The sequence below is a fragment of the Homo sapiens genome, chromosome 12 (assembly GCF_000001405.40).
Source record: "Homo sapiens chromosome 12, GRCh38.p14 Primary Assembly".
NCBI lineage: Eukaryota > Metazoa > Chordata > Mammalia > Primates > Hominidae > Homo > Homo sapiens.
Genome location: NC_000012.12, coordinates 29,377,417 through 29,390,928, shown reverse-complemented (window position 1 = coordinate 29,390,928; position 13,512 = coordinate 29,377,417). Strand labels below are relative to the sequence as shown.

At 43.3% G+C, this 13,512-nt stretch overlaps 1 protein-coding gene and 1 long non-coding RNA gene across 6 annotated transcripts in view, besides 1 other annotated feature; one reads left to right on the top strand and one right to left on the bottom strand.

The window, feature by feature from the left end:
• OVCH1-AS1 (OVCH1 antisense RNA 1) overlaps positions 1-1,635 on the bottom strand; it is a 98,031-nt gene extending 96,396 nt beyond the window's left edge. For all 3 annotated transcript variants that reach the window (NR_073172.1, NR_073170.1, NR_073171.1), the window contains exon 1: positions 1,076-1,635. This is a non-coding gene — a long non-coding RNA (OVCH1 antisense RNA 1). The remainder of the gene's footprint in view (positions 1-1,075) is intronic.
• Positions 1,636-9,756: 8,121 nt separating this feature from the next.
• The window catches only part of ERGIC2 (ERGIC and golgi 2), a 43,821-nt gene continuing 40,065 nt past the window's right edge, over positions 9,757-13,512 (top strand). For 2 of the 3 annotated variants that reach the window (XR_001748741.3, NM_016570.3), the window contains exon 1: positions 9,757-9,814. The gene's annotated coding sequence lies outside the window, so the exon portion shown is untranslated. Of the gene's footprint in view, positions 10,461-13,512 lie in introns of all 3 variants that reach the window. The other variant, XM_024449009.2, reaches the window with a different exon arrangement.
• Positions 10,025-10,194: an enhancer, noted in NCBI's record as "active region_6157". NCBI's record gives its function as "activates an Ori minimal core promoter by ATAC-STARR-seq in GM12878 lymphoblastoid cells {active_cell/tissue: GM12878}" and the evidence as "EXISTENCE:reporter gene assay evidence [ECO:0000049][PMID:35858748]".

Here is a 13,512-nt window from a genome sequence, read left to right as displayed (position 1 = left end):
CTTCCAAATGTGAACATTCTGGCCTAGAACCCTTCCCATTTCCATCAACCCAGAATACATCAAATTTTCAGAAGACAATCTTTCCTAGGACTTGTAAAACAAAATGTACAAAATATATTAGTTTACTAACTCTACTTTTGTCATACACTGGCAACCTCTTTAACATCCAGAAAGACTAGATGTTGTCAATTAGGATTCGTCTGTCCTTTATGTACACTATATACACAGATAAGTAAAACAAAACGCACAGAGATAATGATTCATCTTGCCTCGCTGTAAACAGGATGTCATAGAGCTCTCTGCACCTCCCCCTCCTCTCTCTTCCCCTGAACCACACTGCACAATGAGCATTACTCAACAGGTGATTTGGCCATTCCCCCCAAAAAACATTTCCTATGATTTGTAACAAAAAGGTATTTACAAAATGTGATTTTGCTACCTCTAATTTTAACATATCAGGCACTTCAGAACATCTAAAAAGAATAGACATTTCAAAAAAGCTTAGCATTGTCAACTATATACACAGTAGTGAAGAATAAAATGCACACAAAACAATGGATAGAATATGAAAATGTCTTCTAAATATGACCAGTCTAGCACAGAACCTTCTTCTCTTCCTTCTCAGGTCTTCCACCTCCATGTCATCTAACCCACTTAACAAACGTGGACGTATCGCTTCCAGAGGCCGTCTTAACAACTCCATTTCTAAAAGTCATCTCCAGAAGACATGTGTTTTCTATGATTTCTTTTAAACAAATGAGAATTTACAAGATGTGTGACTTTCTATTTTATCATATGTCGGCAACCTCTTTCCATCTAGAAGGGCTAGATGTGACAAATGTTTTCTATTAAAAGGTTGGGGTGAAGTTGAGAGCAGCTTTTTCATATTATATACACAGGCCTTACATAAACGGCCAGTAAATCTTCCCAGAGGGTGGTGGGCATTTCCAACGGGCCAAACGTGGCCTGTCATTCTACCATTTCTCTCTTCTGACAGCAAAGTCTGGTAGAACAAAGACCAACCGCCCGATAGCCGCTAACCGTTCCACCCGTCGTCTTTCGGGACTTCACTCACCTTCCAGGCCCCTGAAGGCCTTTGTCCGTTGTCGTCAGGACTAGGTCGGTCTCGCCCAATGGCGACAGAGTGGTCACCCGGGAACCGGATCTGCGCGGCTCCGTGGCCTAAAGAGGTGGCCGAGCCTGCTTGCGTCCCTAGGCCGCCTTCCCGGGCCCTCCACGCCTTAATGGCCTCCGCCGCGCGGCGTTCAAGCGGCCGCCATACTTTCCGGCCCACCACGCCCGGCGCCGCCCAAAGGCGCTGCGTCCCAGCGACTCTGCGGGGGTTTCGTCGAGGCCCGGCAGGCTTGGGTCGGGAGACGCGGCGGCCGGCGGGGTCCCGTCGGGGAGACGCAGCCGCCGCCATCAGTCATCCAGGTGGGGTGGGAAAGAGAGGTTCGCTGCGGCTTCAAGGCCTGGGCACAGCCAGTGGGCAGCCACAGCAGAGGCCTCCGGTATCTGCAGGGCAGAGGCCTCGGCCTGTCCCGGGGCCCCCCAGTTCACCCGCCGGCCCGGGTCCGGAGGGCCTGGAGGGCCCTGGAGGAGCTGGCTGCGTTCTGCGTCTCTCCGCGCTCTCTGCCAGACCGGAACTGAAGTTAGATTTTTGTATCAGGAAATATAAAAATATCTTCTGCTCTGCTCAGTTGAATGTTCATTTTTTTCTCATAGCATCATGTTTTTTTCCTTTTCTTTATAATTAAGACAGTTCATCATGTACATAAAAATCACATACATGAAGGCACACACATACACAAATGTACTTGTCTTAGATATTCTCTTAGGTTCAGTTGGGTTTATTAATATATAAATATTAACAGGTAAAAATAAAGTAGTAATTGTTACAAGGATTGTTATAAGGCCTGTCACTCTGGAAGGCCACATTTGTGTCTCCAAAGTCCAGCACAACATTTTAAAGAAGGATGAATTTGAAAGTCATTGGATGAGACAAGTATGCTATCTTCATGACCCCTGAAAACATTTGAGTTTCACAGGTGATAAGATTTGTCAGCATTTCTGAGTATTTATTTGTGTCATATTATTGAAATTAAAATTTGACCATAGCATGTGAATTAAATAGGTTACCACTTTTTAATGTAATAGAGAACAATAAAATATTTATATTATGTCTTAGGCACTTAGTTTTAAAACCTCACCCACTTTTAGCATACAATTATGCTTTTAAAAGGTTTAAGAAATATAAAAAGAGCTGAAATGACTTAAAATATAGATTATAGAAAATACTAATAGATGAAATAAATACATTTATGATGAAAAGAAGAACAGATAATATTGATGAAAGAATATTTGGAAATGGAAAGTAAAACACTAAATTAGAATGTTGTAATCAATATAGATAAGTATTTGAAATGAAAAACGTATTTCAGCTGAGTATTTTTGCACTGAAAGATATTGGGCCTACGGTACAATATGTTAAATACATATAGTAATATATTATTGATAATTATTAAGACTATGTACTAACACCTATCAAGATAAATAACACCAGCCATATATTTTTGGGGAGTTTATTTATTGGATCCCTTTTTACCCACAATATATAGTACAAATTCCATGAGGGTAAGAGTGTCTGCTTTGTCACTATGACAAAGTACTTGGTACTTAGCACATCATTTGTCATATTAAAGGTGCTTAATGAAATGAATATTTGTTACAAGAGTGGCCAGACTGCAAGTTCAGTTGACAGATCTGTGGTTCATTTGAGCCTATTAATCCTATTAAAATATTGCACAAACAATGCTTTATAGATAGAAGTGATTACCTTGCTGAAACAGAGGTATCAGATGGCACAGACTGTGCATGGACTGAAAGTATTTATTCATCAGCTGATTATGAAATCTAAACTTGTCATGTGAAAAAGTGATATAAGACTTTTAAGGTCAGGCGCCATGGCTCACTCCTATAATCCCAGCATTTGGGAGGCCAAGGTGGGTGGATTATTTGAGGTCAGGAGTTCGAAACCAGCCTGATCAATACGGTGAAACCCCGCCTCTACTAAAAGTACAAAAATTAGCCTGATGGGGTGGTGGGTGCCTGTACTCCCAGCTACTTGGGAGGCTGAGGCGGGAGAATCGCTTGAACCCAGGAGGTGAAGGTGAAGGTTGCAGTGAGCCGAGATTGTGTCACTGCACTCCAGCCTGGGGGACAGAGTGAGACTCTGTCAAAAAAAAAAGACTTTCAAGTCCCAACTTGGCATATGAAAAAAAAAATGATTTGAAAGAGTAAACTACAATGTTTGAAAATGTAAATTTAAAATCAGACTATATCACTGAGGATCACCTGTGGTTGAAGCAAGTGATAATGAAGGCCTGGTGTATAGCATGAGATCGGGAATAGCCTCATGAATAAAACTGATGGGTCACTGGGATTGGCAGCTAGAGAAAAGGTGGAGGAGACACAAAAATTCTAACCTGGTTAAGTTTGAGGTTAATGGTGCCATTGACTTTTCTAGGCACAGAGGAGAAGAAATAGATTTGGAGATAAATTATGAAATCCACTTGGGTACTGGGCACGGTGGCTTACACCTGTAATCCCAGGACTTAAGGAGGCCATGGTGGGGACAGATCACTTGAGGGCAGGAGTTCCAGACCAGCCTGGGCAACATGATGAAACCCCATCTCTACTGAAAATACACACACACACACACACACACACACACACACACACACACACACACAATTAACCAGGCATGGCGGCTCATGCCAGTAGTCCCAGCTACTCAGGAGGCTGAGGCACCAGAATTGCTTGAGGTGGAGGTTGCAGTGAGCCGAGATCGCGCCACTGCACTCCAGCCTGAGCAACTGAGTTAGACTCTGTCTCAAAAAAAAGACAAAAAAAAATCCATTTTGGATGTGCTGACTTTGAGGTGCTTATGGGCATTCCATTGTAAAAATTATTCATTTATTAGTTTATCTAAATTTTGCTGCTCACTTGCTGAAACTTTTACTCAAACTAGAGAAAGAAAAAAATGGCACAAAAGCACCTTTTGATCATCTTTACTAAATACAGGTTGTTATGGAACAATTATTAATCTCAGTCTGAAACCTATTGAGAGGTGACAGCGTGCCGGCAGTCCTCACAGCCCTCGCTCGCTCTTGGCGCCTCCTCTGCCTGGGCTCCCACTCTGGCGGCACTTGAGGAGCCCTTCAGCCCACCGCTGCACTGTGGGAGCCCCTTTCTGGGCTGGCCAAGGCCAGAGCCGGCTCCCTCAGCTTGCAGGGACGTGTGGAGGGAGAGGCCCCAGCGGGAACCGAGGCTGCGCGCGGCGCTTGCGGGCCAGCTGGAGTTCCCGGTGGGCATGGGCTTGGCAGGCCCCACACTTGGAGCAGCCGGCCGGCCCTGCCGGCCCCGGGCAGTGAGGGGCTTAGCACCCGGGCCAGTGGTTGCGGAGGGTGTACTGGGTCCCCCAGCAGTGCCAGCCCACCGGTGCTGTGCTGATTTCTCGCCGGGCCTTAGCCGCCCTCCCGCGGGGCAGGGCTCGGGACCAGCAGCCCGCCATGCCTGAGCCTCCCACCCCCTCCGTGGGCTCCTGTGCGGCCCGAGCCTCCCAGATTAGCGCGGCCCCCTGCTCCACGGCGCCCAGTCCCATCGACCACCCAAGGGCTGAGGAGTGCCGGCGCACCGTGTGGGACTGGCAGGCAGCTCCACCTGCAGCCCAGGTGCGGGATCCATTGGGTGAAGCCAGCTGGGCTCCTGAGTCTGGTGGAGATGTGGAGAACCTTTATGTCTTGCTCAGGGATTGTAAATACACCAGTCAGCACCCTGTGTCTAGCTCAGGGTCTGTGAATGCACCAATCGACACTCTGTATCTAGCTACTCTGGTGGGCCTTGGAGAACCTTCATGTCTAGCTCAGGGATTGTAAATACACCAATCGGCACTCTGTATCTAGCTCAAGGTTTGTAAACACACCAATCAGCACCGTGTCTAGCTCAGAGTTTGCGAATGCACCAATCGACACTCTGCATCTAGCTACTCTGGTGGGGCCTTGGAGAACCTTTGTGTGGACACTCTGTATCTAGCTAATCTGGTGGGGATGTGGAGAACCTTTGTGTCTAGCTCAGGGATTGTAGGTGCACCAATCAGTGCCCTGTCAAAACAGACCACTTGGCTCTACTAATCAGCAGGATGTAGGTGGGGACTTATAAGAGAATAAAAGCAGGCTGCCTGAGCCAGCAGTGGCAACCTGCTCGGGTCCCCTTCCACACTGTGGAAGCTTTGTTCTTTCGCTCTTTGCAATAAATCTTGCTACTGCTCACTCTTTGGGTCCACACTGCCTTTAAGAGCTGTAACACTCACCGCAAAGGTCTGCAGCTTCACTCCCGAGCCAGCGAGACCATGAACCCACCAGAAGGAAGAAACTCCGAACACATCTGAACATCAGAAGGAACAAACTCCGGACATGCCGCCTTTAAGAACTGTAACAGTCACGGCGAGGGTCCGCGGCTTCATTCTTGACGTCAGTGAGACCAAGAACCCACCAATTCCAGACACATTTTGGCGACCCAGATGGGACCTTCGCCAATCACCAAGCAGTAAGACCATCGCCTATTGCTGAGCGGTGAGACAATCACCTATTGCCAAGCAGTGAGTACCATCGGACCCCTTTAGCTTGCTATTCTGTCCTATCTTTCCTTAGAATTTGGGGGCTAAATACCGGGCACCTGTTGGCCAGTTAAAAGCGACTAGCGTGGCCACCGGACTAAAGACACGGGTGTCAGGTTTTCTGGGAAAGGGCTCTATAACAACCCCCGACTCTTCGGAGTTGGGACCATTGTTTTCCCTAGAACCAGCTTCTGCTTTTCCAGTACTTCTGGGCTGAGCCGAGGGTCGACAGAGAGGAAAGCCATGCAGCTCTGGGGTCCCGACAACAAGTTGGTTGACCCTGCGGCCATGAGCAGAACTCTCAAAAGCATGTCGCCCAAGCGAGACTCGCCCATCTATCCTATCTATCCTGACCCTTGCCCCCTGGGTCCTAATGCCTGTCAGACAAACTTCCTCTTGCCTCTCTTCTCTGAGGTTAGTCCCGCTTCTAAAAATTGCTACCGTCTCTGGTGCTTTTCTAGTTTCTCCTATAAGAATGATTTCTAGTATAAACTCCAGGACTCTGTTACCTTCTTTAGGCACCCGGGCTCACCAATCAGAAAGACATAATTTTTGCCCAAAGCCCCATCGTAGTGGGGACTACCTGGAATTTTAGGATCCCTCCTCAGACTAACAGGCCTAACAAAAGCTATTCCTGAAGCTAGGATATGGGGAGCCTCAGAAATTATATCCTTCCTATTCATATAAGTGAGGACAAAAGGTGTCACTCTTCCAAACCTGGAGATCCCTTCCCTCCCTCAGGGTATGGCCCTCCACTTCATTTTTGGGGCATAACATCTTTATAGGACAGGGGTAAAGTCCCAGTACTAACAGGAGAATGCTTAGGACTCTAACAGCTTTTCGAGAATGCGTCGGTAAGGGCCACTAAATCGATTTTTCTCAGTTGGTCCCCCTTGTGGCCTAGGAGGACAGGCAAGGGTGCAGGTTTTCGAGAATGCGTCGGTAAGGACCGCTAAATCTGACTTTCCTTGGTCCTCCATGTGGTCTGGGAGGAAAACTAGTGTTTCTGCTGCTGCGTTGGTGAGCGCAACTATTCCGATCAGCAGGGTCCAGGGACTGTTGCGGGTTCTTGGGCAGGGGTTGTTTCTGCTGCTGTGTTGGTGAGCGCAACTATTCTGATCAGCAGGGTCCAGGGACCGTTGTAGGTTCTTGGGCAGGGGGAGAAACAAAATAAACCAAAACGCGGCAGTTTTGTCTTTCAGATGGGAAACACTCAGGCATCAACAGGCTCACCCTTGAAATGCATCCTAAGCCATTGGGACCAATTTGACCCACAAACCCTGAAAAAGAGGCGGCTCATTTTTTTCTGCACTACGGCTTGGCCCCAATATTCTCTCTCTGATGGGGAAAAATGGCCACCTGAGGGAAGTACAAATTACAATACTATCCTGCAGCTTGATCTTTTCTGTAAGAGGGAAGGCAAATGGAGTGAAATACCTCATGTCCAAGCTTTATTTTCATTGAGGGAGAATACACAACTATGCAAAGCTTACAATTTATATCCCACAGGAGGATCTCTCAGCTTATCCCCATATCCTAGCCTCCCTATAGCTCCCCTTCCTATTAATGATAATCCTCCTCTAATCTCCCCTGGCCAGAAGGAAACAAGCAAGGAAATCTCCAAAGGACCACAAAAAACCCCGGGCTATTGGTTATGTCCCCTTCAAGCTATAGCGGGAGGGGTATTTGGCCCAACCCGGGTACATGTCCCCTTCTCCCTCTCTGATTTAAAGCAGATCAAGGCAGACCTGGGGAAGTTTTCAGATGATCCTGATAGGTACACAGATGTCCTACAGGGTCTAGGCAAACCTTTGACCTCACTTGGAGAGATGTCATGCTACTGTTAGATCAAACCCTGGCGTTTAATGAAAAGAATGCGGCTTTAGCTGCAGCCCAAGAGTTTGGAGATACCTGGTATCTTAGTCAAGTAAATGACAGAATGACAGCCGAAGAAAGGGACAAATTCCCGACTGGTCAGCAAGCCATCCCCAGTATGGATCCCCACTGGGACCTTGACTCAGATCATGGGGACTGAAGTCATAAACATCTGTTGACCTGTGTTCTAGAAGGACTAAGGAGAATTAGAAAAAAGCCCATGAATTATTCAATCGAACTAGAGAAAGAAAAAAATGGCACAAAAACACCTTTTGATCATCTTTACTAAATACAGGTTGTTATGGAACAATTATTAATCTCAGTCTAAAACCTATCTTATGCGGGTAATACATAATGGACTTTTTAAAGCAAATTGTTTTTCAGACATAACGCCACTGATAACACAAGATTAAGTATCTATCTCTTTTTAAAGATGATCCTGATAGGTACATAGATGTCCTACAGGGTCTAGGGCAAACCTTTGACCTCGCTTGCAGAGATGTCGTGCTACTGTTAGATCAAACCCTGGCCTTTAATGAAAAGAATGCGGCTTTAGCTGCAGCCCGAGAGTTTCAATCTTCAGGGGAAATTAAGTTCCCTCTTCACTGGGTAGATTAGAAAATGGTGAGTTGTTTTCTAAATAAGAAGGATCAAATTAGTCAGTTTTGCTACACTGGGAAATCCAACTCTCATGGGATAGTTGTTACCCTGAAAGTAGGTTATCCAGGAGATGAGGGATCAGATGTAACTAAGTGAACAACAGCCAGCCTCCATCCAAGCAAGAGCCCATATTCACAAAGAAGGAAGAGTTGCTGATGCCTTTACGGCAAAGATTAAAAAAAGGCATTTTAGATGTATATTAATTTACTTAATCCTCGTAACAACTCTGAGATATTATCATGCCCATTTTACAGATGAGCAAATGGAGACACAAAGAGATGAAATAATGTGGTCAAGGTTACATGCTAGTAAGTTGCTGATCTGGAATTCTAACCCAGGAAGTCCTGTCTCCAGTGTCTATGATTTCACCCACTACACTATACTTCTTAAGCATGTCAAGAAAGTGAGAACTTTAAATTGATTTAATTAGACTAACTCTGAAAGTCTGAAAATAAAATTGATTCATTGGAAACTTTTCATCAGTCCTTATTTTGGGGGATATTCAATTTAGTGAAATTTAGTATTTCAGTAAAGGTTAATTCACTACATAAAACAATGTGATTTTTTTCCTTTGAGGCACAGTTTAGTATTGTGATCAAGATTTCCCTGACTCTCCCAGCGGTCTGAATTTGGGTAAATCACTTCACTACCCCTTGACTCAAATTCCGTATTTATAAAACAGGTAAATACTGGTATTATCTTCTAAGAGTGTTGTGAGGATACGCAGATTTTTTAAAAAAGCAGTTAAAGCCTTTAAACAGTAATTATAAGCAGTTGTCATAATTATGCCGTTGTTAGACTTCTAGGTCAATGAATCAGAAAATTTAAATCTCAATGTTTGATTATAAAATCTGGTAACAGATGGGTGAAAAGGAACCTGGAATGGGTTTACTCTCCAGGAGTTCACATTTAACTTTTCTTTCCGAAGTTCCGTCTATTAACTCCTGTTCTATGAAGTGGTAGAAAAAGATGAGGTATTAATTTTCTTTCTTAACAAATATTTGAAGGCATAGTTGGTGTTGGCGAAGGGAGATGAGGAAGACATATGTGCTTTCTTATGATATTAAAACCTGGAAGACAATAAAAACGCTGATCAAATAATAAAAAGCGTTACCTATGGCGGAAAAGGAAGCTCAAATGTTCTTGTCAGGGGAAAACGACACAAAAACTGAAAGAGGGAAACAAAACAATTGCACAGGTGATATGCATTAGGGTTGTTAGGGATAATTTCTGCGCCCAAGGCTCTTATTAGTAATGAAATACGGTGTGAGGAGCTGAGATTCGTTCTGCAGTCTCAGTGTTAGTCGGAAAGTAACCCCTCCCTTCCCATAGAAACAGAACCGGACTGGCGGCGCGATTACACCTAAAACAAGTTGCAACCTCATTTCCCTGTAGGCACGCCTCTTTTATCTTAACCACGCCTCTTCATTCCCTAAGCACGTCGTAAGCAAAGGGAATATCGCGAGATCTGTACATTGTCTCTTTTCTGACGTTTTCAGCTGTGATAGTCGCTTTTGTTCTCGCGATATTTCCGGGTACGCGGGAGCCCCGGCGACCCGGGCTTCTGTGAAACATGGCGGTAGGCTGGGACCATAACACAAGGTAAAATACTGAAACACCGCTGGGTGCTGTTCCCTCGGTTGTTCCAGGGCTGTTTAGGGCGTAAATGCAATTGAGGGAACTGGGAGCCTGTCATGGGCTTGGCTTCCTGTCTTCATTGATCTCTAGAGAGCCGGTCGGACGGAGAAGCCGCTCCACCTCCCACGGGGGCGTTACTGGCAGGACCCTAGGCAACGATGCTACTGGGAGCTTCCCTTTGCCAGGTCCGGGTGCTTGTGTGCTATCCTGCAACTCGAAGGAGTTCAGGTGCTTCCTCGATCGCACCTGATTCTGACCCTTTGCTTGTCACAGTGCCCGGTTCCCAGGTGGTTTCTCCAGTCCGCAGGCGAGTAGGATCCCAATCGGTCGAGTCCCAGTCCTCCCGGATGTCAGACTCCCTACCCCCATTCAGACAAATGCCACATTCGTGGCAGCACGTTGCCCTCTGTCTCTTTAAGAGTCTTGGCCTTGCCCGGAAGGAGTTTCGCACAGTGCTTCGGAAAATGAGAAGGGGGCGGGGGAGGGCGAGATGCTGAGAGACAGGTTCGACTGTCACTACTTTTCCTCGGCGCAGGAAACCTTCCGAAGGCAACGTGTCAACTCGTGGTGGAGAATAGCCTTGTTTATCTGTAGTATATAGAGTTGACAGGTCATTGTTTGAGAAAACACGTTTAAATAACTTTTATATTTTAGTGCCCCCGAGACTTAAAGACAAAGTGGCATAATAGCTGTTAAAATGTTGCCAGACTGGTTTTCAGAAGCAATGAAAGTTACAGTTAAAAACAGGATTTATTCATTTGAAGTTGTAATTCAGTATTTCAGTTAATTGCCTAGCCTGATACATTGGACTCCAGTATACAGCAATTATAAAGAATGAGCCTGGCTTGTTCACTGAAAAAAGACATGGTTATTTACCTAATTTGTTTGTTGATATCTTTAAGTTGTTGTAATTATGCCAGTTCTAGTGGAAAACATGAGGAAAAAAATTCTGATTTTTTGGGAGGGTGGGGGTTGGCGGTGCAGGGATGGATAGAGAGAGGAGGATTTTTTTTTTTTTTTTAAATGATGGTGAACTTTAGTATACAGTTGCGTGTTATAATGGCTTCCTGGTACAAATCATAAAAATATATCAAGTTTGAAAGATCTCTCAAAGGAAATCAGGCCTAGTCTGGAACAACGAGAGTTAGGGAAACAACAACAACCACCCACACATTTTCTTTCTTTGGGGATTGATGATTTAAGTGAAAGAAATGGCTATTTTTTTTTTCTTTACCAGAAGTTACTTTTAGGCAGTCAGTGCCTGCTAAAAATCCTATTTAATAGTTTCCCAATATTTATTGTAATTCTGCCTCTTAATGTCATAGTGGTCAAATTATTTAACCTCTCTGTGCCTTAGTTCCTTCATCGGCCAAATGAAATAATGATACTTAACTCATAGGAAGGTTGTGAGGATTGAATGTGTTGAAACATACAAAGCATTTAGAACAATACCTGGCACACAGTAAACACTCAATGCATGTTAGCTCTTGTTATTTTTTATTTTCATTTTCTAACATCTGTAGTTACAAATGTTGCCTTGTTACTTAGTCAAAATGTAGACTGAAGAAGATATTGTTTAAAATAATATCTTTCTGAACTCCAGATTGATTAAACACTCTGATTGGTGTGGTTAATGTGTCCTTAAACTCCCATTATCCAGTTGCTTGTTTTCTTAAATTATTATCCTCTTTTAATGACTAAAGCATAAGTTCTTCCTTTCTATTGCTCTATATAGTCACGTTGTAGTGTGGCTCAGATCTACCCTCTGAGTGCCTTATTAACCCCCATACTCTTTGCTTTTGAGAACATTCATTCTATTGTAAATATATTTCATGTGTCCCTGACCTTTTCCTTAATACTTTTTAACTTTAATTTTCTATACTTTTATTGAGAGCTACTATAGTCTAGTTGTTCTTTGAGGAGGATTATACTTGTCCTTGCTTCACATTGCTACTAGGCACTTTTAAGGTTATTCTGTTATCACTCTATAGTCTCTCTTAACTTTTAGTCTTATCAGTTTATGCCATCCTAACTTCAGGAGATTGTCAACTAACCTCACATACTCTCCCACTTTCCTCAAAGACTTTAACAACTAAATCTCAAATATCCTACAAATCTTTGCTTTTTTTCAGAGAATTAGAAATAGATATTACATGCCTCATTTTTATCTTAACACTGTGAGGTAGCCATTATGTCCTGCTGCCCATCTTTTAAAATAAAATTATGGAGAGAGGATTCTAAGAAGTTGAGTATCTTTCCACACTTGTCACACAACTAGTAAGTGCCTAGGTAATCAGGGTTTTCTGATTATAAACTCACATTTATATTGTCTTCCTTGGCTTCCAAGTAAACCTTTCTGTCACTTAGAATGTCATTAGGTTTATTTGAATTATGTTGGGGTAAACAAACATAATATTTAACTCTGTTGTAAAAGGTCCAAATTTTAAGGTAAAAATAAGTACAATTGAGGGGGTTGGGGGGTTGCTATCTAGTATTTGCAAAGTAAAGCTAAGCTATCTTATAAAATGTTTTTTATTGTAAAGTATTCTAATGCAATATAATCAAGTAATTTAAAATTACAGATAGGTTGTAGTTTTACCTTTTATTTCTGATATTCAGCGATGGCCTGAATTATATTGCCTGTATTAGTTGCCTGGGGCTGCTGTAACAACTTACTATAAGCTGGGAGGCTTAAAACAAAAGAAATTTATTCTCTCACAGTTCTGGAGGCTAGAAGTCTGAAATCAAGGTGTCAGCAAGACTTGAAGACTCTAGGAAAGAATCCTTCTTTGACTCTTCCTGGCTTCTGGGCAATCCTTGCTATGCCTGGGTTTGTAGACACATCACTGTAGTCTCTGCCTTTGTTTTCACATGGCATTTTCCCTTGTGTTTCTCTGTGTCTTCACATGGCCTTCTTAAAAGGACACCAGTCTCAGATTTTGGAGCACCCTGATCCAGTATGATCTCATCTTAATTAGTTATATCTGAAAGACTCAAATATTTCCAAATAAGGCCCATTCATAGATACCAGAGGTTGAGACTTCAACATATCTTGTTCAACGTATCAAATTGTGAGTTGACACAGTTCAGACTGCAACTTGGCCATATGTATTAACCAATTAAATTTTTCTCATATTGCCAAATATGTATTAAAAATAGAAGTTAACTCAAAACTTGGGTAGCAGGAAATAACTTTTGTCTTCATTTTTCTTTGGAGAATTAAACTTAACTGAGCAGACTATAAAAAGTTCATGAATTCTGTATTTTAATTTTGGTAAAGCATTTAATAGTCTCATTATATTCAGATGGATACAATGATGAAATATAGGCTGTGTGACTTTACTTACAGTGAGTGTTGATAATGTCTGTGTTCCAACCTGAAAGGGAGTCTCTTATGTCTTAGGAAGTTTTTCAAAATACAGTCACCCCTCCATATCTGTGGATTCTGCATCTGTGGACTCAACCAGTTGCAGATTGAAAATATTCAAGAAGGAAAAATTGCATGCCTACTGAACAAGTATTGTGTCTGTACTGAATACTTACAGACTTCTTTCTTTTCATTATTTCCTAAACAGTACAACTATTTACATAGCATTTACATTATATTAGGTTTTATAAGTAGTCTAAAGATCATTTAAAGTATACAAGAGGATGTGCATAGG